Source organism: Homo sapiens, chromosome 8 (genome assembly GCF_000001405.40).
Source record: "Homo sapiens chromosome 8, GRCh38.p14 Primary Assembly".
NCBI lineage: Eukaryota > Metazoa > Chordata > Mammalia > Primates > Hominidae > Homo > Homo sapiens.
Genome location: NC_000008.11, coordinates 102,663,654 through 102,689,366, shown reverse-complemented (window position 1 = coordinate 102,689,366; position 25,713 = coordinate 102,663,654). Strand labels below are relative to the sequence as shown.

Sequence of the window (25,713 nt, the reverse complement as noted above, 5' to 3'; positions counted from 1 at the left end):
TGCCAATTTCCCTGGTGTAAATACTCCACCAGGGCTGATTTCAAACTATCAACACCTGGTCTCTGAGCACAGACTTGGGAAGACAGGCACATGTTGACTCTGGGGAGTTGGTATGAACCTCCTCCAGGAAGCTGCTGCAAAGATCCCTGTGACCTTTGGAGAAAAAGCTTTAAATATTAATTGCAACAAACTACGGGCTTGATCATATAGGAGTCCCAGTAGCCTCTAGTATAGATGAATTAGATTTTTTTTTTTAAGTGTTTCTCAGAGAGCTTGCGGACCTTCAGATTGGATCACCACGACCCCTCACCTCTCCAGCAGCCGCTGTCCCAGGCAACCTCTGCTTGCTGGGCCTGCTCTGCCAGGGCGTCTGAGGCCATGGTCAGTCCTAATACGTGGATGAGCCCCCTGAGCCGCCCACATTCCTCTGCTCATGGGCCTAAAGCAGCTGTGTTGCCTCGGGTGCTCTACTAGAAGCTGGATGCTGACCAGTATCAGGATGATTCAGAATTAGAATAAGAAAGGAGAGAAACTACTCCTGGATGGACATAACAACAATGTGCAAAGATAAACTATCAAATTGTGAAGAAAAGATTAAGATGTTTTATGAGTGGTATTTGCACTTGGATGATGAGTTCTGCTACATTTGTTTTCTCTTTCTTCCCCCACACCGCCCCTGCCTTTTTTTTTCTTTTTGGAGATAAGGCCTCACTATGTTGCTCAGGCTGGTCTCTAACTCCTGGCCTCAAGGGATCACCTTAGCCTCCCAGGTAGCTGGGATTACAAGGTGAGCCGAGCCACCACCCCTCCTGCAGCAGGTACTTTGATGTGAGAGATAAAAGAGTACAAATGGATGGGGATCTTTCTGGAGTAAGGAGACATCATAACTCTCCCCACAGGAATTTATCACTTCCTGCTGGAGGAAAAGATCTAGATGAAGGCCATGCAGCTGTTTGTGGGAGACCCAGTGTGGACTGTGTACAACTGGCCAGGTGACCTTTTTGATGCCTGGGGACAATACAGGAAATTTCTGGCACAAACAGCATAGCAGTGTTCCCTGGGAATTAACATGTGTCCTGTAAAAGTCCTAAACATGACAACTGAGCAGAAAATCAATCATTGTCTCTTTGCTTTTATATGATAGACTTGAGGCTAGGTTATCTTCCCTTTGTAAGATTATTTTACCAGAATATTTTCTAACAAAAGGAGCTATAAAACTGAGTTTTACAATGGAAGCAACTTGGAAATATAAACATGTTACCTTCATTCTCTCTAACTCAGTCAAGACTAGTGGTTCAGTAGCCCTATGTGAGTCCATGCATTCATCTCAAACCAGAATGGAAGTTTCATCTCCCAATGAGCAGTTAGATGCTCATTCTAGAGATGATGTGGTGCTTACTTTATAAGAAGGTGCGCTGGGTGCGGTGGCTCATGCCTGTAATCCCAGTACTTTGGAAGGCCAAAGCAGGTGGATCACCTGAGGTCAGGAGTTCGAGACCAGCCCGGCCAACATGGTGAAGCCTCGTCTCTACTAAAAATACAAAAATGAGCAGGGTGTGGTGGCAGGTGCCTGTAATCCCAGCTACTTGGGAGGCTGAGGCAGGAGAATCGCTTAAACCCTGGAGGCAGAGGTTGCAGTGAGCCAAGATCGCACCATTGCACTCCAGCCTGGGTGACAAGAGCGAGACTTCATCTCAACAAATAAAAAAAAGAAGGTGCAACAGTAGATAACCAACCAGAAAGAAGACACCTCTTTCTCCCAAAATTATACTCTGGGATGGGGAGGGGTATGGGGAAACAGCTCCTATGTTAGGGGCACACTCTGAATTGCTTATGCCACTTCCTGTTCAAAATAAAGTAATTGCCTTAATTTTGTGTTGTTTCTTTACCTGGGAGGGAGACATTGCTCAGCCTGGAAAACCTTACAAAAAAAGAAGGATATTTAATTTCACTTATCAAACTATGGGTTTAGACTCTTTATAACTTATATAATTATTGTTATGATAGTAGTAACATATGATGAAGGCTAGAAATGATGCTGGAAAACTCAGTCATTCAACAAACATCATAGTCTCTAGAATCTCTTGAAACATTGGTGGCTTTAACATACAGTATCTGGAAATGAAGCTCCACTTATGAGCTGGTAAGATTTATGATGGTTATACCATAAAATATTTCTTTCCCTCCAAAAATACAAATTAAACAAAGTCTTCCTTATTAGTGATTTAATGCAATTTTACATAAATCAAACCCCCTGATAACAAACAATGCCAAACTCTGCCAAGAGCGTGCTCCACAGGACAAACTGGAAGGTGGATACCTTTGGGAAGGGCTGACCACAGAAAAAAATTACAGAGTTACAGCGTTTTAAAATCGGAAGGTTAGTGAGATTATAATAACACATGCTGGAAATCCACATGGTTTCATGAGTTCAGTAACCTTGAGTAACTTTTTCCCTGGGGAAATGGTGGAAGCCGTATTGCCTCGCCAAGTCTTATAGATAGGTCCCAAAGAATCTGAGCACACAAACATCAGCTGCTCAGATTTCCACAAACCTTTTCCCAGTGGACCCACAGTAAAGCAAAAAACTATATCTATGCAAAACACCTAAAGGAATGCTATGTTCGTGGTCTGAATTTTCTTTTACTTATAATAATCCTCAAAAAGGCCAGGCACTGTGGCTCACGCCTGTAATCCCAGCACTTTGGGAGGCTGAGGCGGGTGGATCACTTGAAGCCAGGAGTTGGAGACCAGCCTGGCCAACATGGTGAAACCCCGCCTCTGCTAATAATACAAAAATTAGCAGGTATGGTGGCGTGCACCTGTAATCCCAGCTACTCAGGAGGCTGAGGCAGGAGAATTGCTTGAACCTGGGAGGTGGAGGTTGCAGTAAGCTGAGATCACACCATTACATTCCAGCCCGGGCAACAGAGCAAGACTCCATCTCAAAAAAAAAAAAAAAAAAAAAAAAGTCTTTAACACCGAGAGCTTGCTTTATTTAGGCCAGAATTGAGTATTTTAGTCCATGGCTCTGACAGCAATGTCCAGGTAGGACAACTTCCCAACACCAACTGTGAACCATGTGAACGAATGTCCTTAATGTCATTGCTGCATTTGGAAGGACGGGAGCTAGCTCCACTCTAGGAGTCCTGTAGAAAGGAAAAGAGAAGCATACTGGATTGCAGGCTTTCTTGCTACTGGTGTCCGGTGTCATGGCAAGGGTCACCAGTGGCCTGGAGCGAGTCCAGCTGGCAGATGGTTTGATAGCCTGCAGGGCTCCCCTGGACTTATCTCCTCCTTGGCTGCAAGCCCCTAGCTCTAGCTCCTGCCCAGGCTTGCATCAGGAACCGTGGGGCGGTGTCCGAGCTGCCGGATTCCACCCACAAGCAGAGGCTGTATGCCACTGGTAACATCCAGCCAGTCAGCAGTGAGCTTCTGGGCAATTCTTTCAAGAGACTAGATTGACACCTGGAGCCAGACTTTATCGGACTTACCAAAGTTTGACCCCAATAAACAGTTCAGTTTTCCAGAGTTTTCTGGCTGCATGTAGTTGAAAGCAGGACTCTGCCAAGTTCTGAGTCCAGCTCTGAGCTGTTTGTCTTCCACCACCTGCTGCAGAACACGAGGTGAGTAAGTGGCCAAGGCTCATGGCCAGGTGTGCATGGGGCTGCCTGACACCGCCAGGGGCAGCTGACCTCCCAGATGGCCACCAGCTATGCCCTGGACCTTTAGCTCCTGACACTTTCCATGATGGCTCCCCTGACAGGCTGTGGCTTTGGGTGGTATTAGGGGACTGTGTTTTCTTGTACCCGTTGCTACTAGGAAAACACTACAAATTTTGTGCCTGTATAACACTGTTCTTCAGAGTTTCTGGGGGTAAAAGTGCACTCACAATAATAAAAACCAACTTGCAATACCGATAGTTACCTGAACCCTAGTCAAGAAAAATTTACTAAGGCCTTATAAATGCAAGACACTCTCCTAAGAAGTGTGATGTCAGGGAAGAAAATACATGGTCTTTGCATTTAGGGAAGGACCATGCAGTGGGGAAGGCAAGACTGGAAACATTTCTTGTGTCTCCTCTGTGAAGTCTGATCGTCGCCCTCAAGCCAGTCCAAAGCATGTAGGTTAAACCACATTTTGGGGTGAACCATACAAAATTGCTGTTTTTCCAGTTAAAAAGGTAGCATGTCAGCAACTTACTTTGGTTCAACCTAATAATCAGGTCTCCCAGAGCACTCTGCCTATCCTGTTAGGGCCCTGTTTCAACCTGTCTTGTGAATAATTGGGTGTTGACAAGAACTTTTCCTCCATTTGATTGCCAAGCTTCCTGAGAGCAGGAACCTTAGTTTTGTGCGTGTCCAGTTAAGTACTACACTTTACAGGGAATAGAGGAATGAATGAATGAAAAAAACAACACAGGCTGGCACGGTGGCTCATGTCGGTAATCTCAGCATATTGGGAGGCCCAGGTGGGTGGATCACTTGAGGCCAGGAGTTCCAGACCAGCTTACGCAACATGGTAAGACCCAATCTCTACAAAAAATTTTAAAAATTGGCCGGGCACAGTTGCGCTTGCCTGAAGACCCAGCTACTCAGAAAGGCTGAGGTGAGAAGATTGCTTGAACCAGGGATGTCAAGGCTGCAGTGAGCCCCGTGATCATGCCACTGCACTCCAGCTTGGGTGACAGAGCGAGACCTTGTCTCAAAAAAAAAAAAAAAAAAAGGCCAGGTGCGGTGGCTGAAGCCTGTAATCCCAGCATTTTCAGAAGCTGAGGCAGGCAGATTGCTTGAGTCCAGGAGTTTGAGACCAGCCTGGGTAACATGACAAAAACCTGTCTCTACAAAAAATACAGAAATTAGCCAGGTGTGGTGGTGCATGCCTGTGTAGTCCCAGCTACTCAGGAGGCTGAAGACAGAAGGATCATATGAGCCTGGGAGGTGGAGGTTGTGGTGAGCTGTGATCACAACATTGCACACCAGCCTGGGTGATAGAGTAAGATTCTGTCTCAAAAAAAAAAAAAAAACCTACCCAATATAGATACACATCGTTTATATATACATATTTATACGGTGTGTGTGTGTGTGTGTGTGTGTGTGTGTGTGTGGTTACAAGCAGTATACTGGGTGCTGGGGACAAAAGGCTGAATCAACCTTGGGTCTTCCCAGGTTGATATGGGTCCTTACTGAGATACAAAGAGATAATTTCATACCATTAAGCAGGGCTTCTCAACAGTAGCACTAAGGACATTTTGGATCAGACAGTTTGTTGTGGGGGTGGCTGTGCTGTGCTCTGCAGGATGTTTAGCGGCATCCCTGGCCTCCACCCACTAGATGCCAGTGGTACACTTTCCATCCCCACCCCCAGTCATGACAATCAAAATTGTCTCCAGACATTGCCAAATGTCCTCAGTGAAACAAAGTCACCCACCCCCAATTGAGACCCACTGCCGTAGATGTGCTAAGGTGGCATGATGCTTTTTAATCCCGTGAGGTGGTTCAGAGACACTTCCTGGAAAGGATGACACCTGGGGTAGGTCTTGAAGGATGAGTAAGACTTAGCAAGGAGAAGCGAGGCAGAGGCCACTGCACAAGCAAAGAACCATGGCTTACCTGAACTCCATGCTGACTCGGCACAGGAGGGACCACACATAGGTGAAAGGCAGTGAATTCAAGCCAAAACATGAGCGTACATGTTCCCTTTTAAAAAGCAGATCTTGGTTTCTGGTATAACCTTCTTTCCATGAATTCTTCCACCTTTCAGCAACGCTTGGCCCGGACACAGAACCTTTGTGAATTAAGTGAAATCACTTAGAACTGTTTTAATGGCAGAGCAAAAGCTGTACTAGCACTAATAATAGCTTCCTTTGGGAAGGTACTTCACGGGTTTGTTCTGTCTACTTGTTTGTTTGTTTGTTCATTAATTTTTAAAAAATGCTTTCATTAGATGTTGAATACATACAAAAAACATCAACATACAAACACAGAGAGGAACTAGAAAGCATGTAGCATGTAACCCCCGTCAGCCTCACACATACAATATCTCCTCTACCTGTGAGGTCCCCTGTGTGCACCTTCCTGACCTCACTTCCCTCTCCACTCCCAGGGGAGCAAGATTTTTGTGTTCACATTTGTTCATTCAACAAACCTTTTACTGAACACCCCACTATACTGTGGGCCAGGCTGTGTGCTATAAAGTAGCAAACAAAACAAAAACTTTCCCCTTTCTTACTTAGAGCACTTTCACATTAGCCTTTTCAGTGTTATATGATATTATCAATATCCCAACGAGATACATACATACAGGCAACTAATAACCACTCCCTCAACTTCCTTTAACAGGTGAGGAAGTGGAGGCTCCCAAATGTTGACTTGTCACAGGTGACATGGTTTGTAAGTGGCAGAACTGGGGCGAGAAGCCAAGTGGTTGCCTCCTGTCCCTTCCTTCCATTGTACCACAGCGCTGGCCTCTCCTCTCCTCACCTGACACTCCATGGGTTCAAGTCATTGCTACCGGATGCCAAACTCTGCAGGTAAAGAAGGGCAACTGCAGCGCAGGGAGACGGGTGGGATTTGGAGACTCCTACCAGACCTGCATGTGGGCTGTGGAGTGGGGAGAGGAGGTTTCTCTGCAGTAAAGGAGTCCCCACTGGGGGCAGTCTTGTCCCCAGACATTTGGGTACACACCAAACTCCCATTTTAAAGTGGCATTGACTGGGTGCATTGCCTTGTGCCTGTAATCCCAGTGCTTTGGGAGGCAGGGCCAGGAGGATCGCTTCAGACCAGGAGTTTGAGACCAGCCTGGGCAATATAGCAAGACCCCATCTCTACAAAAAAAAAAAAAAAGAAATTAGGTGCACATCCTATAGTCCTAGCTACGCAGGAGGCTGAAGCGGAGGATCACTTGAGCCCAAGAGTTCAAGGCTACAGTGAATTATGATTGTGCCAATGCACTCTACCTTGGGCAACAGAGCAAGAGCCTGTCTCTAAAAACAAATAAATAAATAAATAAAAGTGGCATCACAGCATACAAACAAAGCCATCTTTTTGCCTTTTCCATTTGACTGGGAGAAAAATGTTTTTCTCCCAGTCAAGTAGTTGGTTTATTGGTTGCTTGAGTTGGATAAACTTGGTATCATTTATTTACAACTCAATTTCTACTTCACTTGTTGATATTTTGGCTTGGTATTCATGCCTCCCCATAAACAAAAATAGTGATGCCTCGGATGGCGGGGATGACAGTGAGACAGATCTCAGAGGCTGTCCAAGGGTGAAGAACGGCTTCCATTTATAGCTGCCACTCTGATCACTGGTAGCAGCTGCCTAGGTGTTGTTTTGAGAAGGCTCAAGGGCCATAATAGATTAGGAAGCGTGGGCTCTGGAGAATGGAGCGGGGGGCTCTTGTGCCACATGATTATCAACCCTGACGTAGGCTGTGATCAGCCAAGATTGGCCAGGCACCACAGGAGGCCTCACACCAGTCAGGTCTCTGGTGGCCAGTAGCTGGCCCTTCTATAGCTCCATCTCCTGGTATGTGGGCCTCACACTCTAAAGGGGGCACAGATCTGGTCCCTGGTTCCAGGCCCCTTCAAATGAGGATAAAGCCTGATAGGAAAGTCTCAGCCTCAAATCAGACGTGACCTCCACATGGCTCATCATTCATTCCACAAATGTTTACTGCATGCTTCTCTGTGCAGGTGCTGTGCTGGACACCGGGAAGCCAAGTGACTGGATGAGAGACACTGTCCTAAGAGTACTTGCCATCTAGTGCATGACACAGACATCCAGTGAATAATAGCAGCACAGTATCATGAAGGCTATGGTAGGGACAATCCAGGATCCTACCAGAGCTTATTCACATGGGTGGTCAGAAAAGAACGGCTGCCCATGGCATTGGGGCAGAGAAAAAATTGTACAACAAGCCAAAGAATGCCTATCCTTTCATGAAGCATTTTGGTGGGGCCATTCTGTGACCTGTCTATGCTTAATGATTCTAGGAATGGATTCAGTTACAGGCTGGACTCAGGGCTTCTTTGCAGTAAGTGACAGGCTACCACATACATACCACATATGCACACTGTGGTCTGAACAAGAACACTCGCTTAAAAGGAAAGTCAGGAGGAAAAGGAAAGGGTGACTTTTACTGCTTTGGCTGAAGGTACTGTATTTGCCAGTAGAGAACTTGGGGAAATCAAATATTTCAATTACCCTATAATCATGGAAGGTAAGACTGATGGGTGAGCTTTTAGCTGTCTTCACGGTGTTTACACATCTTTACATCCCATGGACATCCCTTTGGATCTAAATGGAAGTCCTAATTCCGAGGTCTTGATTTATTTTAGACATGGGAAGTACTTCTTAACTGAACAGTCAGGGTTAAGTCAGGGAAGGGAACCCCTTGGAGTTATGGGATAAAGGACACACTTATTATAGGAATTGGACATTACACAACTTTGGGAGGAACTGGAGAGGTGAAGGCCCCGGAGGAATGGGAGGATCAGAGAAGGAGCCGCCAAGCAGTCCCTTGGACAAGCTAAGCACATCCTGCTGCTGTGGAGGGGCTGAAAAGAGAAGCCTGTGGTCCCTCCTCCGTGGAAATGCCATCTGAGGGAGGGGCTGGGGCTGCTGTCGGTCCTGGAGTCAGCAGTCAGGAAGAGGACTGGATGTGGAGTGCAGGACAGCAAGGACAAGCTGGAACCCGCTGGCCTCTCTGTGTCTGTCACCACATCTAACCCTGATGACTTTCTGAGAGTGATGGCCACTGCTTCACATTTTCCAAACCTGGTACAAGTTCTTCTTCTGGCCAAATTTAACTCAGAACTGTACAGGGAAAGGGATCTCGAAAAGATAGTTCCATCTTAGCCAAGTGAACAGAGCACAAACCATCACATTTGAAGAAAAGGCTGAAGGTAGAGAGAGAATACTCTGCCTTAATTAAGAAACAAATACTTGGCTGGGTGCGACGGCTCATGCCTGTAATCCCAGCTCTTTGGGAGGCTGAGGCCGGCGGATTGTTTGGGCTCATAAGTTTGAAACCAGCCTGGGCAACATGGCAAAACCCCGTCTCTACAAAAAAATACAAAAATTAGCTGGGTGTGGTGGCATGTGCCTGTAGCATCACCTACTCTGGAGGCCGAAGTAGGAGGATGGCTGGAGCCTGGGAGACAGAAGTTGCAGAGAGTTGACATCACGCCACTGTACCCCAGCCTGGGTAACAGAGTCAGATCTTGTCTCAAGAAAAAAAAAAAAAGAAAGAAAGAAAGAAAGAAAAAAAAAAAACACTGCAGAACTTCCTAGTTCAAAGAACCAGAGGTAAACTCGTGGTGTGCGTGTGTGTGTGTGTGTGTGTGTGTGTGTGTGAAGTGCTTGGGGAGTTTTGTTGAAAGGATAAATTTCCAGGCCTCATCTCTTAAGAGTCCGGGGTGGGGCACCTGTTTTAACAAGCTTAGTAGGTGATACTGATACACACAAAAGCTTGAAAACCACTGTCCTCAACCTTACAAGCAAATAATAGGTTATTAATTAATTCAAGTTGAATGACCTGCTATTGGAAGCCCTATATCAATAATTTGCCATTTAGGGACACTTGGATGGTTACCCAGATGCCAACAGTGTCCCAAATTGCCTCCTGAGCTGGACTTTATGTCCTCCATCTCCCTGCCTGAATACTTTTAAGAACAAGCTAAAATGCAGATTCGAGACTCACACCTGAACTCTTCTATGAGGGAGCTGGGTGTGGTTGGATAGCAAGAGGAATCTCATGGTGATACCGCCAAGGGGCTAATGGATTGGGAAAGCCAAAGGTGTGCTCCACCCTGCAAACTGGGTTTACTGGTAACTCACACAAGTGATTTCTCTCATCCAGATAATTACCATTAAACAATATGTATCTGTCACCCCAAAGTGTGTGGGCATTGATGCAGCGTACCATGTGAAGCATGTAAAAATGATAGCTACCAGCCTTAGAAGTTGGAGGTGGAGGTGAACTTACAGACCTCCCCAAGTGCCTTGTTTGCCCTGCCACACTCATACCCACGCCCCAGCCAGCCATAAACCCACCTGCCCCTACCCTGCACCAGAGAAACTTCTGACACAGCTGCCAAAGCAGCTGACAGTGTCAGCCACTAGCTCCTTGGGCAGGCAGTATGGGCAACTCAAGAACAGTCAAAGGGCCAGCGTGGTGGCTCATGTCTGTAATCCCAACACTTTGGGAGGCCGAGGCAGGTGGATCACCTGAGGTCAGGAGTACCAGACCAGTCTGGCCGACATGGTGAAACCTCGTCTCTGCTAAAAATACAAAATATTAGCAAGGGGTGGCGGCACATGCCTGTAGTCCCAGCTACTTGGAAGGCTGAGAATTGGTTGAACCTGGGAGCCAGAGGTTGCAGTGAGCCGAGATCATGCCACTACACTCCAGCCTAGGTGACAGAGTGAGACATTGTCTCAAAAAAAAAAAAAAAAGAAAGAAAGAAAGAAAGAAAGAAAAAAGGAAAAAAAAAAAAAGAAGAGTCAGAGGAAGATGGGGCAGGGCCCAGAGTGGCCCAGCTAAAGTGCAAGGGTGAGCTGATCTAGATCTTCCTGCAGAGCATATGGGGCAGAGTCCAGGCCAGCATGTACACCTCTAGACTGCCTTCTTCCCTTGCCTTCCTTTTCTATCTCTGTAAACAGAATCCAAAGGCACTGATGCATATTAAATGCCCCTGTTCCCCTGTCTTCTCCCTGTGTTCTTCTTCTAGTATTGTTCAGCATTAATCCTACTGACTGAACAAACCAGTGAGCCAGGGGTCCTCAATTGTGCCTCAGCCACTCAGGGAGCTTGTCAGTGATGCATATTCCTCAGTGTCACCTTCAAAGAACCTGACTCAATAGGTGGGACTTGGAAAACTGAATTTTATCTTCTTAATTTTTTTTATTTTTTATTTTTGAGACAGAGTTTCACTCTTGTTGCCTAGGCTGGAGTGCAATGGCATGATCTTGACTCACTGCAACCTCCATCTCCCGGGTTCAAGCAATTCTCCTGCCTCAGCCTCCCAATTAGCTGGTATTACAGGTGCATGCCATCATGCCTGGCTAGTTTTTTTTTTTTTTTTTTTGTATTTTTAGTAGAGATGGGTTTTCACCATGTTGGCCAGGCTAGTCTCAAACTCCTAATGTCAAATGATCCACCAGCCTCGGCCTCCCAAAGTGCTGGGATTACAGGTGTGAGCCACCATGCCTGGCCTGGAAAATTGAATTTTAAACAAGTGCTACCAAGGATTCCCAGGCAGATGATCAGGGACAACATTCTAGAAAACACCGTATGAGGCAGGAGGTGGTGCAGGAAGAGGAGAAAGAGACAGACCAGAATAAGGCCTCACAATCTGGTTGAAAAGGCAGATCACACACAAATGAAAAAGACTTAGGACAGGCAATATGCATATCCCTGCAAAGAGCCAGGGCACCTAGGGCACAACATTTAAGGAGGTCCTCAGGCTCAGGTGCACTTGCATGATCCTAGATTAAGTGTCTCCTTAAATTGTGCACCCTAAGTACCTTTCTTGCTTCAATCTCATCATTGTCCTGGTACCAACAATTATGTCTGGCACATCGTAGGCACTCTAAATATTTGATGAATGAATAAATGCATTTATTTAACAAACATTTACTGAGTGCAAACTATTATACTAGGTATAGGTAACTGGGTGTAGGGGTGAGTCCGGGAGAAAATGACAGTCTAGAAATGAATTGGACTCAGACTCCACTTTGAAAGAAGTTTATAGGCCAGGTGCAGTAGCTCAGGCCTGTAATCCCAATACTTTGGGAGGCTAAGGCAGGAGGATCACTTGAGCCCAGGAAGTCAAGGCTGCAGTGAGCTATGATTGCACAACTGCACTCTAGCCTGGGCAACAGAGTGAAATCCTGTCTCAAAAAAAATTTTTTTAATAAAAATGTTTATGAACTCATAAGGTCTGAAGACCAGGAAAAAAAAAGATGCAAGGTGGTGAAGGTGGTGGAAAGGAAGGTGCTGGAGTGGAAGCGAAGGGGTTTTGTATATCTCTGCTAGACTACATGCTCCATGAGAGCAGTAGCCCTGCCTCTTCTGGTATATCCCCATTCCTGAAACAGCACAGGTACAAGATGGGTATTTCATGTACATTGGTCAAGTGACTAAATGGCCAGAGCCAGTCTTAAAGTTCCAGAGATATACACTAGTGTGTTTTGCAGCCTTATAATTGAGTCTAAGTACAGGAAAGCAGGTGCCTGGAATTAGGTGAGGTTTTTTTTTTTTTTTGAGACAGAGTCTCGCTCTGTTGCCGGGCTAGAGTGCAGTGGCGCGATCTCGGCTCACTGCAAGCTCTGCCTCCCGGGTTCATGCCATTCTCCCGCCTCAGCCTCCCAAGTAGCTGGGACTACAGGCGCTTGCCACCACGCCCGGCTAATTTTTGTATTTTTAGTAGAGGCGGGGTTTCACCACGTTACCCAGGATGGTCTTGATCTCCTGACCTCGTGATCTGCCCGCCTCGGCCTCCCAAAGTGCTGTGATTACAGGCGTGAGCCACTGCGCCTGGCCTAGGTGAGGTTAATTACAAAGGCCCCACTAATGATCTAACCCAGTGGTTCCTGCACTTGGTTGATTATCAAAACCACTTGAGGAGGGCTTGGAAAATACTGACTCCCAGGCCCTACACTAGAGGTATGAAGTCAGGGAAGCGACTCAGGAATCTGTATTTGGATTTCCTAATGAGCAGCTCATGATCACCCTGGCTTGGGAACTGTTACTGTAACCAGGAGTAAGGACTCCAGGTTTTAGAGAGCACTTGGTGGGCCCAGCCTGGCAGAGTGGCCGTGGTCCCCAGGCACATACCACACCAGGACGGGGAAGCAATGAGCAGCCTGCCTGGGCTCCTGTCCACCCACCAACAATGTGACTTGTTTTTAGACTTCTCTCTCTGCATCTCTGTTCCTTCCTCTGTGGAGGAGGGCACATAGGCAGCTTGTGGTAAGGCCAAGGGAGATAACTTCACAGAGATGTAGCCAGCGCCCAGTGCAGTCGTGTTTGGTCCTTATCACACTCATCTTTCTAGCAACACACCCAGCTTCTCAATTTCCTTTTCTGGACTCTACCAAAGTCAGACCTGGCATCAAAGGATTGGATGGCTACGGTAGAAGCTTTACACATGCTCAGAAGACTTTGGGGGAGTGGTAAAGCCCAGAGAGGAAGCTTCCATCAGGGACCCAACAGTTGGGTTGAAACCCTGATTTTAGGGTTTAGTGCCAATCTTAGTGCTATTTTCTCTCAAAGACAGCCATGACTCCTGCCCTCTCTTCTCTTCTCTAGATCTTTCCCGAATCCTCTTCCAGCACCCTCACTGTTCCTGCCCTTACCCCTAGCTGGGGTGCCAGCTGGGCCATCAGATGGACAGGCATGTGCCTGTGGGGAGGACTGATACTGTAGGCCACAGAGGAGCCCTCAGCAGGTCTCGAGTCCCCTCACAAGGACAGGAGAGTGCTATCCTTCACGTTGCTCCTTTAGGCCAATTCTCTCCCCAGGTAAATGATGAGGAGACAACTGAACAAAGAAAAGCCCCTGAACTCCCAAACCCAGAAACATTCTTCAGCACAGGAAAGGAGAAAGCAGGCCGGGAGCAGTGGCCCACAGCTGTAATCCCAGCACTTTTGGAAGCCGAGGTGGGTAGGTCACTTGAAGTCAGGAGTTTGAGATCAGCCTGGCCAACATGGCGAAACCCTGTCTCTAGTAAGAATACAAAAATTAGCTGGGTGTGGCAGTGGGTACCTGTAGTCCCAGCTACTCAGGAGGCTGAGGCAGGAAAATCTCTTGAACTCCGGGGACATAGGTTGCAGTGAGCCGAGATCACACCACTGCACTCCAGCCTGGGTGACAGAGCGAGACTCCGTCTCAAAAAGCCTAAGAAAAGGAGGAAACTAAAAATGGCCTCCTTGCTTCTGTACACAGTCCACCTGCCTTCCTCATCTGAGCCCAGCGAAATAGAACTGCAAGGCTGCTTCTTCTCCTGCACCAAGCTTGTCATCCTTCTGAAAGGGAGGAGTCAGCCAGATGGTGGCCACTGAGACTCCAGGGCCATCTCTGAGAGAACCTCTGCTTCAGAAAGAGGTCAGCTGTCAAAACAAACTGATGCAGAGGCACTTCCCCAGGGGAATCTCAAACTGTAGGCAGCCAGGCCTGGGAAGTGGGTTATTAACCTCGTGACCCTTTATCACTTTCTCCTTAATAGCTTTAGGCACCTTCTACATGGTGTCTGGGGGAAAAACCCACCCTTTGTTTTGGAGGATGACGCAAACATTTTACAAGTAATGTATTGGCCTGTGTTTAACCTTTATTCAATGGGTCCTAATTTATTTCACTAATTGACTGCTCAATTCCAGTAAAATCTCTGGTTCTAGGTTTACAGCCTGCTGAACAAGTGATTCAGAGGTGTATACCCACAGCACAGAGCATCTCGCCACAGTTCAGGTGACAGTGCCTTCCGCTCCATGAAGAATATCTCCATGGAAAAGGAATTCCGGGCCAGACGCAGTGGCTCATGCCGGTAATCCCAACGCTTTGGGAGGCAGGGATGGGAGGATCTCTTGAGGCCAGGAGTTCGAAACCAGCCTGGGCCACATAATGAGATCTCTTCTTTACAAAAGTAAAAAAAATTAGCCAGGTGTGATGGTGTGCACTTGCAGTCCTAGCTACTCGGGAGGATCTCTTAAGCCCAAGAGTTTAAGGTTGCTGTGAGCTGTGCTTGAGCCACTAGGCTCCAGCCTGGGCAACAGAGTAAGCCCTTGTCTATAAAAAGAAAGAAGAAAGAAAAGGAATTCTATTTGTTTGGGGTAGTAATTCCCCAATAGCAGAACTGGGATTGGTGGGGTGGGTGGAAAAAATCTTGGCACAAGGAAAAACTTTTAAACAATTATACTTGTTTAAAAAGAAAAAGAAAAAGAAAACAAGGTGCCTAGGGAGGTGGTGGGCATCCGAGCACTGGGGTGTAGGAGCGGGGCTAAGGGGCTGTGCTGGGAGGGGTCTGAGCTGCTGCCGGAGGAGCCCAACGCAGCTCAGGGTTCTGAGATGAATGCTCAGGTCAGAAAGCTATATATACAGAGCTATCTTCTTGTCCAGGGCCAGGGAAATGCTTTTTCAGGCTGGACTAAGGAGGGAGGCTTTCTACAGGTGAAGACCAGTTGCAGAACGCTTCCAGTTATTTCAAGAGGCATTAGCAACATAGAGCATCCACGTGAACTTATTTACAACCTGGAGATAGCATTATTCATATTGGTCAGAGAGCTGCTGTAAATATGGTAATGGGCTTGGAGCAGAGCCCTAGCTCAATAAGTGTTAGAGATTATTATGATTACTATATAGAAAAACTAGTAGTCACTTCCTTTCTGAAGACACACTGATTAAAACTCAGTTAACGTGCCCACTTCTTCAGGTACAGGAAATAGTAACATTGTCTGAAACGCCACACTTAAGTACAAGGTACAATAATCTGTGTTAACTAGTATATACTTTACAGTGCACATTTACCTCTTTCATGTATATATGGGGTCAATATGCAATAAGCATATGTCTATTTATCATTACTCAGGTGTTCATTATCCAATTCCTTAAAGTTAGGAAGTTCAGTAGTGAAAATATTCACTAATACATATATTAGTGACTATATAGTGAATATATTATATTCACAATACACATATTAGTGAATATATTATATTCACAATACACATATTAGTGAATATATTATATTCACAATACACATATTAGTGAATATATTATATTCACAATACACATATTAGTGAATATATTATATTCACAATACACATATTAGTGAATATATTATATTCACAATACACATATTAGTGAATATATTATATTCACAATACACATATTAGTGAATATATTATATTCACAATACATATATTAGTGAATATATTATATTCACAATACATATATTAGTGAATATATTATATTCACAATACATATATTAGTGAATATTATATTCACAATACATATATTAGTGAATATATTATATTCACAATACATATATTAGTGAATATATTATATTCACAATACATATATTAGTGAATATATTATATTCACAATACATATATTAGTGAATATATTAGTCACTTATAAAACTGGTCCCTATTAAAAAACATCACTTCAGCTAACACTATACCCCAATGACTAGGTTAAAACATCACTTCGGTTAACACCTACTGCCCCACTGATTAGGTCTCTGTGGGTCAGTCTCTTGCCTTTGTAAAAATTCAGCAAATGTAACATAAATATTATGCAAATTGCCTTCAGACTGAAGCTGCAAAACTTGCAAAAGATACAGGATTTAATGAAGGTGACAAAAGTAATATTGGCAAATTGCTTGAACTTCAAGCAAAGACATTGACAAATAAAGATTTGGCATGTTTAAACCAGTTCACAATTGAAGAGCAGAGTGCTGAGAAAGATGGTGCCACATAGGCCCTTCAAAATAAAATAATTTAAATATCAAAGGATAAAAAGAGGCTTTTAGGAAAACTAATAAACTCTTTTTTTTTCTTTTCTTTGGGGCAGGGTCTTGCTCTGTTGCCCAGGCTGGAGTGCAGTGGCGTGATCTCGGCTCACTGCAACCTCCGCCTCCTGGGCTCAAGCGATCCTCTGACCTCAGCCTCCCAAGTAGCTGGGATCACAGGCACGTGCCACCATGCCCAGCTAATTGTTGTTGTACTTTTTTGTACAGATGGGGTTTTGCCATGTTGCCCACGCTGATAAACTCTTATTTTGCAAAACAAACAAAACCAAAAAACTCCACCTCTTCTATGACAGGGTTTAAAAGTCCAAGTGAAAGATGTTATCATATAAAAGTTTGTTAGGAAATGAATATTGAGAAAAGTAACTAACATATAATTCATTTTGTAACAATTAATGCATAGTTGCAATTATAACCTAGATTTGTTAAACTAAGAAAATATATTTTAATCTTTTAATTTCATTTCTCAGTAGGAAGTTCCAATCAAACATTTTTCACACTGATTACAAAATCATGATTCTCTTTTTAAGTGGATTCATATTAAATGTCCTTGCCTGATAGCAATTATCGTCAGATGTGGGAAGACAGAGAGTGTGCACAAGCACCAGTGATCGTTCTGACAATTGCCTAATTCTTTAGCTAACTAGCAGGAAGAAACAGAAACAAACAGAGAGCCACCATCCTTTCCTTAATGTCTTGCCTGAATCTGGAGCAATGGTTCTCGACCTTGGCTGTACGTTGGAATCACTTTGGAGCACTCTAAAAACTACACACGTCTGAGTGTCACCCCCAGAGACACCCACTTCATTGGTCTTGGATGTGGCTGAAGTGGGGATTTTTTTTTGAGATGGAGTCTCACTCTGTCACCAAGGCTGGAGTACAGTGGTGCGATGTTGGCTCACTGCAACCTCCACCTTCCAGGTTCAAGGGGTTCTCCTGCCTCGTCCTCCCGAGTAGCTAGGATTGCAGGTGTGTGCCATCACCCCCAGCTAATTTTTGTATTTTTAGTAGAGACAAGGTTTGGCCATGTTGGCCAGGCTAGCCTCGAACTCCTGACCTCAAGTGATCCACCTGCTTCAGCCTCCCAAAGTGCTAGGATTATGGGCGTGAGCCACTGCGCCTGGCCTGAAGTGGTGATTTTTAAGACCTCAAGTGATTCTAACACGCAGCCAAGGTTGAGATACACTAATCTTTCCTAATTTTTGCTCTTGCAAAAGGACCTATATCACATTCCACTACAGCCCTTTTCCTCATCCTTCCACTTTTTCCTCCCAGTTAATCCTATTCCTTTTCTAGTGTTGCTATATCTCAAGAATTGTTAAAGCCCACTGCCCCAAAAGGTGAAGGGAGTCTTGTGAACTCAGGCCACAGGCAATGGGCGGAGGAAGGTGGGAGGGCTGGGGACTGGGTGGGGACGGGGTTGGGGTGGGGTGGGAGGGAACCTGGAGACCCAGGAAAGCAGGAGGAGGATCAGAGGGGAGGGAAGGCCAGGGACAGAGAAGGGAGTGGAGGAGGGTGGAGGGACTGGGGACCCAGGAGTGGGAGAGGAGAAGTGGGCTGGGGACCAGGGATTGATGGAGGAAGGGAGGAGAGGGAGGGTTGGGGACCCAGGAGTGGGGAACAGGGGAGGTAGACAACCTCCAAGCAGCACGTTCCTAGTCCTTCCAGCCTGCTTACAGCTGGACAGACGGCAGCCTTCAAAGCTGAATGCACCAGGGAACAAACACTGTTCCCGCAGCAGCCGTATAACCCAAATTTAAGTTGAAATGTTCTGCATTATGCTTGGAGTTTGGATTCTATCCTGGAGCAGCAGGCAGCAGAAGCCAGCCACCCGGAGTCCCAGCAGACCACAAATGACTTTTGGAACTGAACACCACTGCTGCTGTGCTGATGGGACCTTAGAGCCAGGCCCTAGATGAACCCGTTTCACCACCTACTTGCTCTCCCCTGGGCTGTGAGGGTCTTTTCATTCCACTTAGTTGGGTGTGAAACAATGTCCTGTCCTTTAAAATGTGCTTTTTCACCACTGCCTTTCACCTTGTCCAAGAAAGGCAGTCATGAAAAAGCACATTTTAAAATTAACATTTCCTTTTGAGAAAGTGATCAGTACAAGAAAAGCCAGTTCCAGAGACCCAAGGCCTTGTACTGAGCACTGCATCCACATTGGTTATGACAACCTGCGACCTCTACCCACAGGCATGACAGCCTGCTCCTCACCACTCCCAGGCCATACTCCCTCCAGATTTCAAGGGGGTCTGACCACCTCCTGGATAATGTGCCAATCAGGATGGGCGCACCTGTAGTCCGAGCTAGGCCGGAGATTCCCAGGATGCTGAGTCACGTGCTGTACAGTTTGGCTGGAGGTGGATGTGGCCGCTGCTGAGTGTATCTATTACTCCAATGGTGGAAAAAATGTAGATTTTCCCAAAACCAGCCAACCAGGCACATATCCAACCCTGCTGGTAATGGGCACACCAGATCTGACTGCACAGAAGGCAGGTTTGATTTTTCTGAAAGAGGCAAGGTGCCAGTGAGGTATACCCGCTGCTTTCCTGCACAGGCACTTACCTACAGTTTCACCGAGTTCTGCTTCCCATCCCAAACCGTGGGAATCCAATAGTCAAACATTTTAATGGCATCCAGACTCTCTTTTTGTTTCATCCAGTCATTCCTGGAGCACACATACATTGTCTCAGCGTCTTGAAGGAAAGGGAGATATGGACACGGTACTTTATGCATCAGGACATCAGAACTAGGGCAACACTCTCCTTGTTATTGCATATTTATTTTGTGGCATATTCTAGGACCATTACACAAGCACTTTGAAACTACAACCAATTAAAGCTTTGAATTAGATGTGTAAGTTAGTTAGAGGCCAAATTGTTCCACCATCTGGTTTAGGGGACTGAGGAATCCATTCATTTCTCAAACATTATTAGAGACAGGCTTCTTATGTGATTAGTTCTGGGCAGTGGACATCGGTAACTAAGGTTCTGAACCTCCGTGAACTTACAGTCTAATGGAGAACAGAGATACCTGTATTATAGATGACCATGCTGTGTGGAATGTGCTACAGGGGAGACAAGCACAATGAAGGGACTTCCTAAGGTTCTATGTCAAATCAATGGTGTCACCAAACCCAGGGAAGACAAATCCCTGATCTAACACATCCTTTTTTTTTTTTTTTTCCAGACAGGGTCTCGCTGTGTCACCCAGACTGGAATGCAGTGAGATGACCTTGGCTCACTACAACTTCTGCCTCCCGGGCTCAAGTAATCCTCCCACTTCAGCCTTCTGGGACTACAGGCGCATGCCACCACACCTGGATAATTTTTGTGGTTTTTGTAGAGATGGAGTTTCACCATGTTTCCCAGGCTGGTCTTGAACTCCTGGACTGAAGCAATGCCCCTGCCTTGGCCTCCCAATGTGCTGGGATCACAGGCATGAGCCATCGCACCTGGCCCTAACACATCTTTGTGTGAAGTTGTCCACATCACACTGGGACTCAGCCCTGTCTGCTAGGGACATATTGTAGGTGGATGTAGCAAGAAGCTAAGATGAAAAGAAGTTGACTCTAGCCAAAAAATGTCAAAGAGGAAGAGTTCAAGACCTGTTGTGAGGTAATGGTGAGGAAGATGGCACCCGAGATGGAGAACTAGCTTTGTTTTAGGTCATGCAGGGCTGGACTGTGAAGACCCTTACACATTGTGGTAGAAGAGGGTTGTGGGGTGAGGGGTGATTTTGCTCTAAGGTTCTTCTACTGCAGGTGAAGAAATCTGAATTAAAAGCTCAGTTTTTAAGTACTTCATCATTAATCCAAACAAAGTTCTTCCCTTATTTTACTTTTTATTTTTCCTTTATACCCCTAAACCCTAATTATATTCCCTTCACCCCACAGCACCTACTTTAATATATCTTTATATATGCATGGATGCTGTCTTACAAAAGTTATATTATTTTAGGTGAGATGTCTTTACAAAAATGATAATGTACTATATATCCTTTCCTATTTCCTATGTTTTTCCCTTACCCCTCAGTGTTTTTTTGTTTTTTGAGACAGGGTCTCACTCTGTCACCCAGGTTGGAGTGCAGTGATATGATCTTGGCTCACTACAGCCTCAGTCTCCAGGCTCAAGTGATCCTCCCACCTCAGCCTCCCATGTATATGGGACTACAGGCATCGGCAACCACACCCAGCTATTTTTTTTGTTTTTTAGTTTTTGTAGAGACAGGGTCTCACTGTGTTGCCTAGGCTGGTCTCAAAACTCCTGGGCTCATGCAATCCTCCCATCCAAGCCTCTCAAGGTGCTGGAATTGCAGGCATGGGCCACTGTTCCCAGCTACCCCTGGATTTTAAAGATCTATAGTGCTGCAGTATACTTCCAGTTGGTTATTTCTTACTGTTACTTAGTATTCAACAGTCTACATCTGCCATATTTTATTAATCCCTTTCTCTAGTGATAAGCACCTAAGCTGCCTTCAACATCCAGCTACGCCAATCAATTTCATGATGAGCATCCTTATGAACTTGTGGGAGAACTTCCTCGGAAAAAATATATATTCCAGAGTTATTCACAGGTCATAGGATATGTGCATGCTTCATCTCAACAAAGCCAGATTGCTTTCCTAAGTGGTGGTACTGGTTCTAGTTGACACTCCCTCCAACAGTGCCCAAGAGTTCTATAATATCTTCCACATTCTCAGCTGCACTGACCTTTCTGCTCCTGGTCATTCTTAGACAGAAGCTTAGAGTAAATGTAACCAACAGGAGCTATCAAAGGCTCTTCACCTCATGAGAACCATGAGAAAAGGGGCTTTTGAAGAATTGTGCAGGAATGATTGATCTTACTTGAAAAACCAGAAGATGAAACATATGTTGTATTCTCTGGGAATTTTGTGAGATATTCGGCATTACAAATGCAAAATATTTTCTGCATATATTTATTTTTTTGCACAAATATCTCATTCAGTCTTTGCCTCCACCCCCCATGTTTGGCTAGTTTCTACTGACTTGGTTTGAAGCATTCTTTGAGTTGGCTGTGGCCAGTCTTCATCATGACCTGGTGGTGGTAGGCAGCAAAGGGGAGGTGGAGTTGCAAGACCAGAGTGTCCTGCTGAGCAGAAGACTGGCCTCATGAGATGAGCTGGGCCTTCCTCCCTATCTTCAGCTGTCATTCTCCTTGGGTCAGAGGGTAGAATATTAAAATGACAATAATAGGCCCATGCGCGGTGGCTCAAGCCTGTAATCCCAGCACTTTGGGAGGCCGAGGCAGGCGGATCACCTGAGCTCGGGAGTTTGAGACCAGCCTGGCCAATGTGGCAAAACCCTGTCTCTACTAAAAATACAAAAATTACCTGGGTGTGACACATGCCTGTAATCCCAGCTACTCGGGAGGCTGAAGCAGGAGAATCACTTGAACCTGGGAGGTGGAGGTTGCCCTGAGCCGAGACCGTGCCACTGCACTCCAGCCTGGGCAACAGAGTGAAATTCATCTAAAAAAAAAAAAAAAAAAAAGAGGGCAATAATAATAAGGCACATTTATAGAGTAGTTTGGACCCTGCTACTCAAAGTACGGTCCTCAGAGTAGCATCTTAGGTATCACCTGGGATGCTGCTTGGTAGAAATGCAGAATGTTGGGGCCCAACCCAGAATCACTGAATCAGAACCTGCTTTGAGCAAGATCCCCAAGGGATTCTATGCACATTACAATTTGAATAGCACTACTTCAGTCTTTGCCAAACATGTTCACATTGATTATCTCACTTAAACTCTTCTCAACACCCCTGATTTCCTCAGGTATAGTTATGTAAATCTTATGTTGCAGTTGAGGAAACTGAAGCTAAGCAGGTTAAAACAACTGGCCCAAGAATATCCAGAAGAGCCCCATGAAAACAGATTTTTTAATCCCCAATGTCATACTTTGTTTCTATCCCTTTCACCCCATGCCTCGTTTTTCCTCACTCCAGCTGCCTACTGGAGGTGAGGCCGGCAAGTCTTGCAGCCCTCAGGATCTTTCTCTGTTGGGCTCCAGACCTGAAATATGGCAAATTTGGCTTGAGACCAAAAATGCTCACTGCTTTTCGGCCTCAATCCTTCTCTACCTTCACTGCAAGTCTCAGTTAGGAGTTCAGAGGACGCTATGGTCTGAATGTTTGTGTCCTCCAAAATTTATGATTCAAATCCTAGTTCCCAAGATGATGGTACTTGGACCTGGGGCCTTTTGGGAGGTGATTAGGTCATGCGGGCTCTGGGATTAGTGCCCTTAGGAAATAGGCCCAAGGGAACCTGTTTGTCCCTTCTACTGTCTGAGGGCACAGTGAGAAAGCTCCATCTATGAGAAAGAGTGCCCTGATAAAACAGTGAATCTGCTGGCACCTTGATCTTGAACATTCTAGCCTCCAGAACTGTGAGAAATAAATTTCTGTTGTTTATAAGTCACCCACTTATAGCATTTTATTACAGCAGCCTGAAAAGATGAAGACAGAGGGACAGCCAGACCTTCACTCGGTGTGAGGTGTGTGGAGTTATTAGTGGGTCTCTCCTTTGAGTGAAGTTTATCAAGTTCCATTTTTTTCTTCTTAAAAGCAGGTTAAGCAGGGGTGCTGAATCTGGGGTTCCTCAGACTCCCAAGGCATCTGTGGATATAATTCAAGGAGTCTGTGATCTTGGATGAGACAAATATTTAACATTTTTATTTGCACTAATCTCTTACCACACCTAGCATTTTCTTTACTGTAACTACAGGAAACAAACCACACTAGGCTCAGCAGGACCTATGACCTGTGACTTTGTCACTAAGAGAAATCACAGATATTTCCATATTACATAACTATGCAGACCTTGAAATCTCATTTATGCTCATGATAACTTCAATATTACCTCAGTTGTTAGTCCCATACTAGATCTTGTTATTAAATGTGTTAATAGGTGGAGTGCAATGTGGCTCATGGCTGTAATCCCAGCACTTTGGGAGGCCGAGAGTGGCGGATCACCTGAGGTCAGGAGTTTGAGACCCGTGTGGCCAACATGGTGAAACCCCGTCTCTACTAAAAATACGAATATTAGCCAGGCGTGGTGGCATGCGCCTGTAGTCCCAGCTACTCAGGAGGCTGAGGCAGGAGAATCACTTGAACACGGGAGGCAGAGGTTGCAGTGAGCCAAGATTGCGCCACGGCACTCCAGCCTGGGTGACAGAGTGAGACTGTGTCTCAAAAATAATAATAATAATAATAATAATAATAAACAAATGTGTTAAAGCAGCACTATAATGCCAAAATACCATTATATATGTATGTGAATATGTGTGTGTGTGTGTGTGTATATATATATGTAATCATTTTTAGTTTTTAGAGACAAAGTCTCTCTTGTCACCCACACTTGAGTGTAGTGGCACCATCATGGCTCACTGCAGCCTTGACCTTCCGGGCTCAAGCAATCCTCCCAACTCAGCCTCCTGAGCAGCTGGGACTACAGGCATGTGCCACTATGCCTGGCTAATTTTTTTTTATTATTTGTAGAGACGGAGTCTTCCTATGTTGCCCAGACTGGTCTCAAACTCCTGGGCTCAAGTGAGCCTTCTGCCTCAGTCTTCCAAAGTGCTGGGATTACAAACGTGCACCACCTCATCCAGCCTATGTTTTTTATATTTGGATAAATGTGTTATCAATATAATGGCTTCATTTGTAATCTTATGAACTTCATTTTATGAGCTCAAAAGCATTATCCTGAGAAGGAGTTCATAGGTTTCGTTAACCTGTAAAAGGACCATTTCAGATTCTAGAACCTTCATCACATCCTCCAGTCTGTTTTTGATTGTTGTTTTGGGTTGGTTCATGTCACGCTCGGATTTATTTTACTTTTTTTATCAGTAGCAACATAGCACTTAAAACCAAAAGGGGCCTATATGCTTGTCTTCAGGAGTGAAACGAAGACTCTCCTGAGAAGACGGCACTCCACTGCACAGCCAGGCTTGGTGGCAGTGGGGGCTAAGAACCCCAAGGAAGAACATGCATGACCCTTGCCCTCCTTCTGGAAGATCGTCTCAACATTCAGAAAATTTCAATAAAAAAATGCCACGTGCTAAATAGAGAGACCATCAGCCATAGCTTTTGCTGACTGCTTACCCTTCTACAGCTTTATATCATAATCTTGATTATAACCCACAAAGAAGCTGGAAGATGTTTGGCCTTTGAAAAACAACACCCCTCCTCTCACCCATGATGCCAGGCAAGATTACCAGAATTCTGACACTGGAACAGGTAAAAGTCACTGGGTCTATCCAGAGAAAATGAAAGGTCCTACTTTTAAGAAGCTGTAAGAACACTACCTTTACAATTATTGATGTGCAAAGAGATGTTCCTGATAGGTTAAGTAAAATAAGAAAAAGCAAGTTACAAGATAGCATGTTTTATAACATATATACAGAGGGGAGTGAGAAGACAGGGTAAAGAGCCTGAAAATATATGTATCAAAATGTTAGTAGAGGTTAATTCTGGAAGTGGGATTACAAGGGATTTTCATCTTTTTATTCCTTTTTGTATTTTTTTAATGATCAGTATGTTTTACCTTTGTTAAGAAAAAAATAAGGGAACGCAGCTGTGTTCATTTGGTAAAAATCACAATGTTAAGTAACTATATTTTACTGCTACTTGGAACCTTGCAGAGCCACTTAACCACTTAACTGGCTTCTCACTTCTTGAGGAGATAAAAAGAGCAAATGGAGAGTGGAGGAATTTAATTTTTTTTTTTTACAAAAATAAATCCCTATAGTGTTATATCATGGACTTTATACAGTGGGCCACATTAGGACCTCCAGATTCTTACTGCACCAAGTAATAACCGGTGCATAGCAGGTGCTCCATCAAGGTGAACTCCCTTTCTTCCTATTACACATTTATTTCCATCTCAAAGCACTCAAGGGAGTGCTTGCTGGTGGTGTGGAATATTTTTCTTCCAGATCTCCATTTCTCTCTTTTTTCTTTTTTTTTTTTTTTCTTTGAGACAGAGTCTCGCTCTGTTGCCCAGGCTGGAGTGCAGTGGCACGATCTCGGCTCACTGCAGCCTCCGCCTCCCAGGTTCAAGCAATTCTCCTGTCTCAGCCTCCTGAGTAGCTGGGACTACAGGTGCCCGCCACCACGCCTGGCTAAGTTTTGTATTTTTTTAGTAGAGACGGAGTTTCACCATA

General features: G+C 45.1%; 3 long non-coding RNA genes and 1 pseudogene across 4 annotated transcripts in view, besides 3 other annotated features; 3 read left to right on the top strand and 1 right to left on the bottom strand.

Annotated features, from left to right (window-relative positions):
• Positions 362-872: an enhancer, noted in NCBI's record as "NANOG-H3K4me1 hESC enhancer chr8:103700723-103701233 (GRCh37/hg19 assembly coordinates)". NCBI's record gives its function as "activates a minimal SCP1, AML or CMV promoter by ChIP-STARR-seq in naive H9 embryonic stem cells {active_cell/tissue: H9 hESC(naive)}" and the evidence as "EXISTENCE:reporter gene assay evidence [ECO:0000049][PMID:30033119]".
• Positions 435-1,414, top strand: ADI1P2 (acireductone dioxygenase 1 pseudogene 2; annotated as a pseudogene).
• Positions 1,094-1,594: an enhancer, noted in NCBI's record as "H3K4me1 hESC enhancer chr8:103700001-103700501 (GRCh37/hg19 assembly coordinates)". NCBI's record gives its function as "activates a minimal SCP1, AML or CMV promoter by ChIP-STARR-seq in naive H9 embryonic stem cells {active_cell/tissue: H9 hESC(naive)}" and the evidence as "EXISTENCE:reporter gene assay evidence [ECO:0000049][PMID:30033119]".
• LOC101927245 (uncharacterized) overlaps positions 2,642-25,713 on the bottom strand; it is a 30,478-nt gene continuing 7,406 nt past the window's right edge. Inside the window, exons 2-5 of one of the 2 annotated variants that reach the window (NR_160672.1) lie at positions 23,028-23,164; positions 19,097-19,227; positions 5,613-5,787; positions 2,642-3,609 (exon numbers count right to left, since the gene is read on the bottom strand). This is a non-coding gene — a long non-coding RNA (uncharacterized LOC101927245). Of the gene's footprint in view, positions 3,610-5,612; positions 5,788-19,096; positions 19,228-22,956; positions 23,165-25,713 lie in introns of those variants that run through there. The other variant, NR_160673.1, reaches the window with a different exon arrangement.
• On the top strand, positions 3,546-9,029 carry LOC105375685 (uncharacterized). The gene is made up of 3 exons (XR_928490.2): positions 3,546-3,626; positions 6,342-6,532; positions 7,697-9,029. It is a non-coding gene; the product is annotated as an uncharacterized LOC105375685 (long non-coding RNA).
• Positions 9,225-19,756, top strand: LOC105375686 (uncharacterized). The gene is made up of 3 exons (XR_928491.2): positions 9,225-9,311; positions 14,403-14,548; positions 19,721-19,756. It is a non-coding gene; the product is annotated as an uncharacterized LOC105375686 (long non-coding RNA).
• Positions 12,889-13,198: an enhancer, noted in NCBI's record as "KLF10-I DHS fragment used in reporter constructs". NCBI's record gives its function as "activates the minP minimal promoter by reporter assays in K562 erythroleukemia cells {active_cell/tissue: K562}" and the evidence as "EXISTENCE:reporter gene assay evidence [ECO:0000049][PMID:23985037]".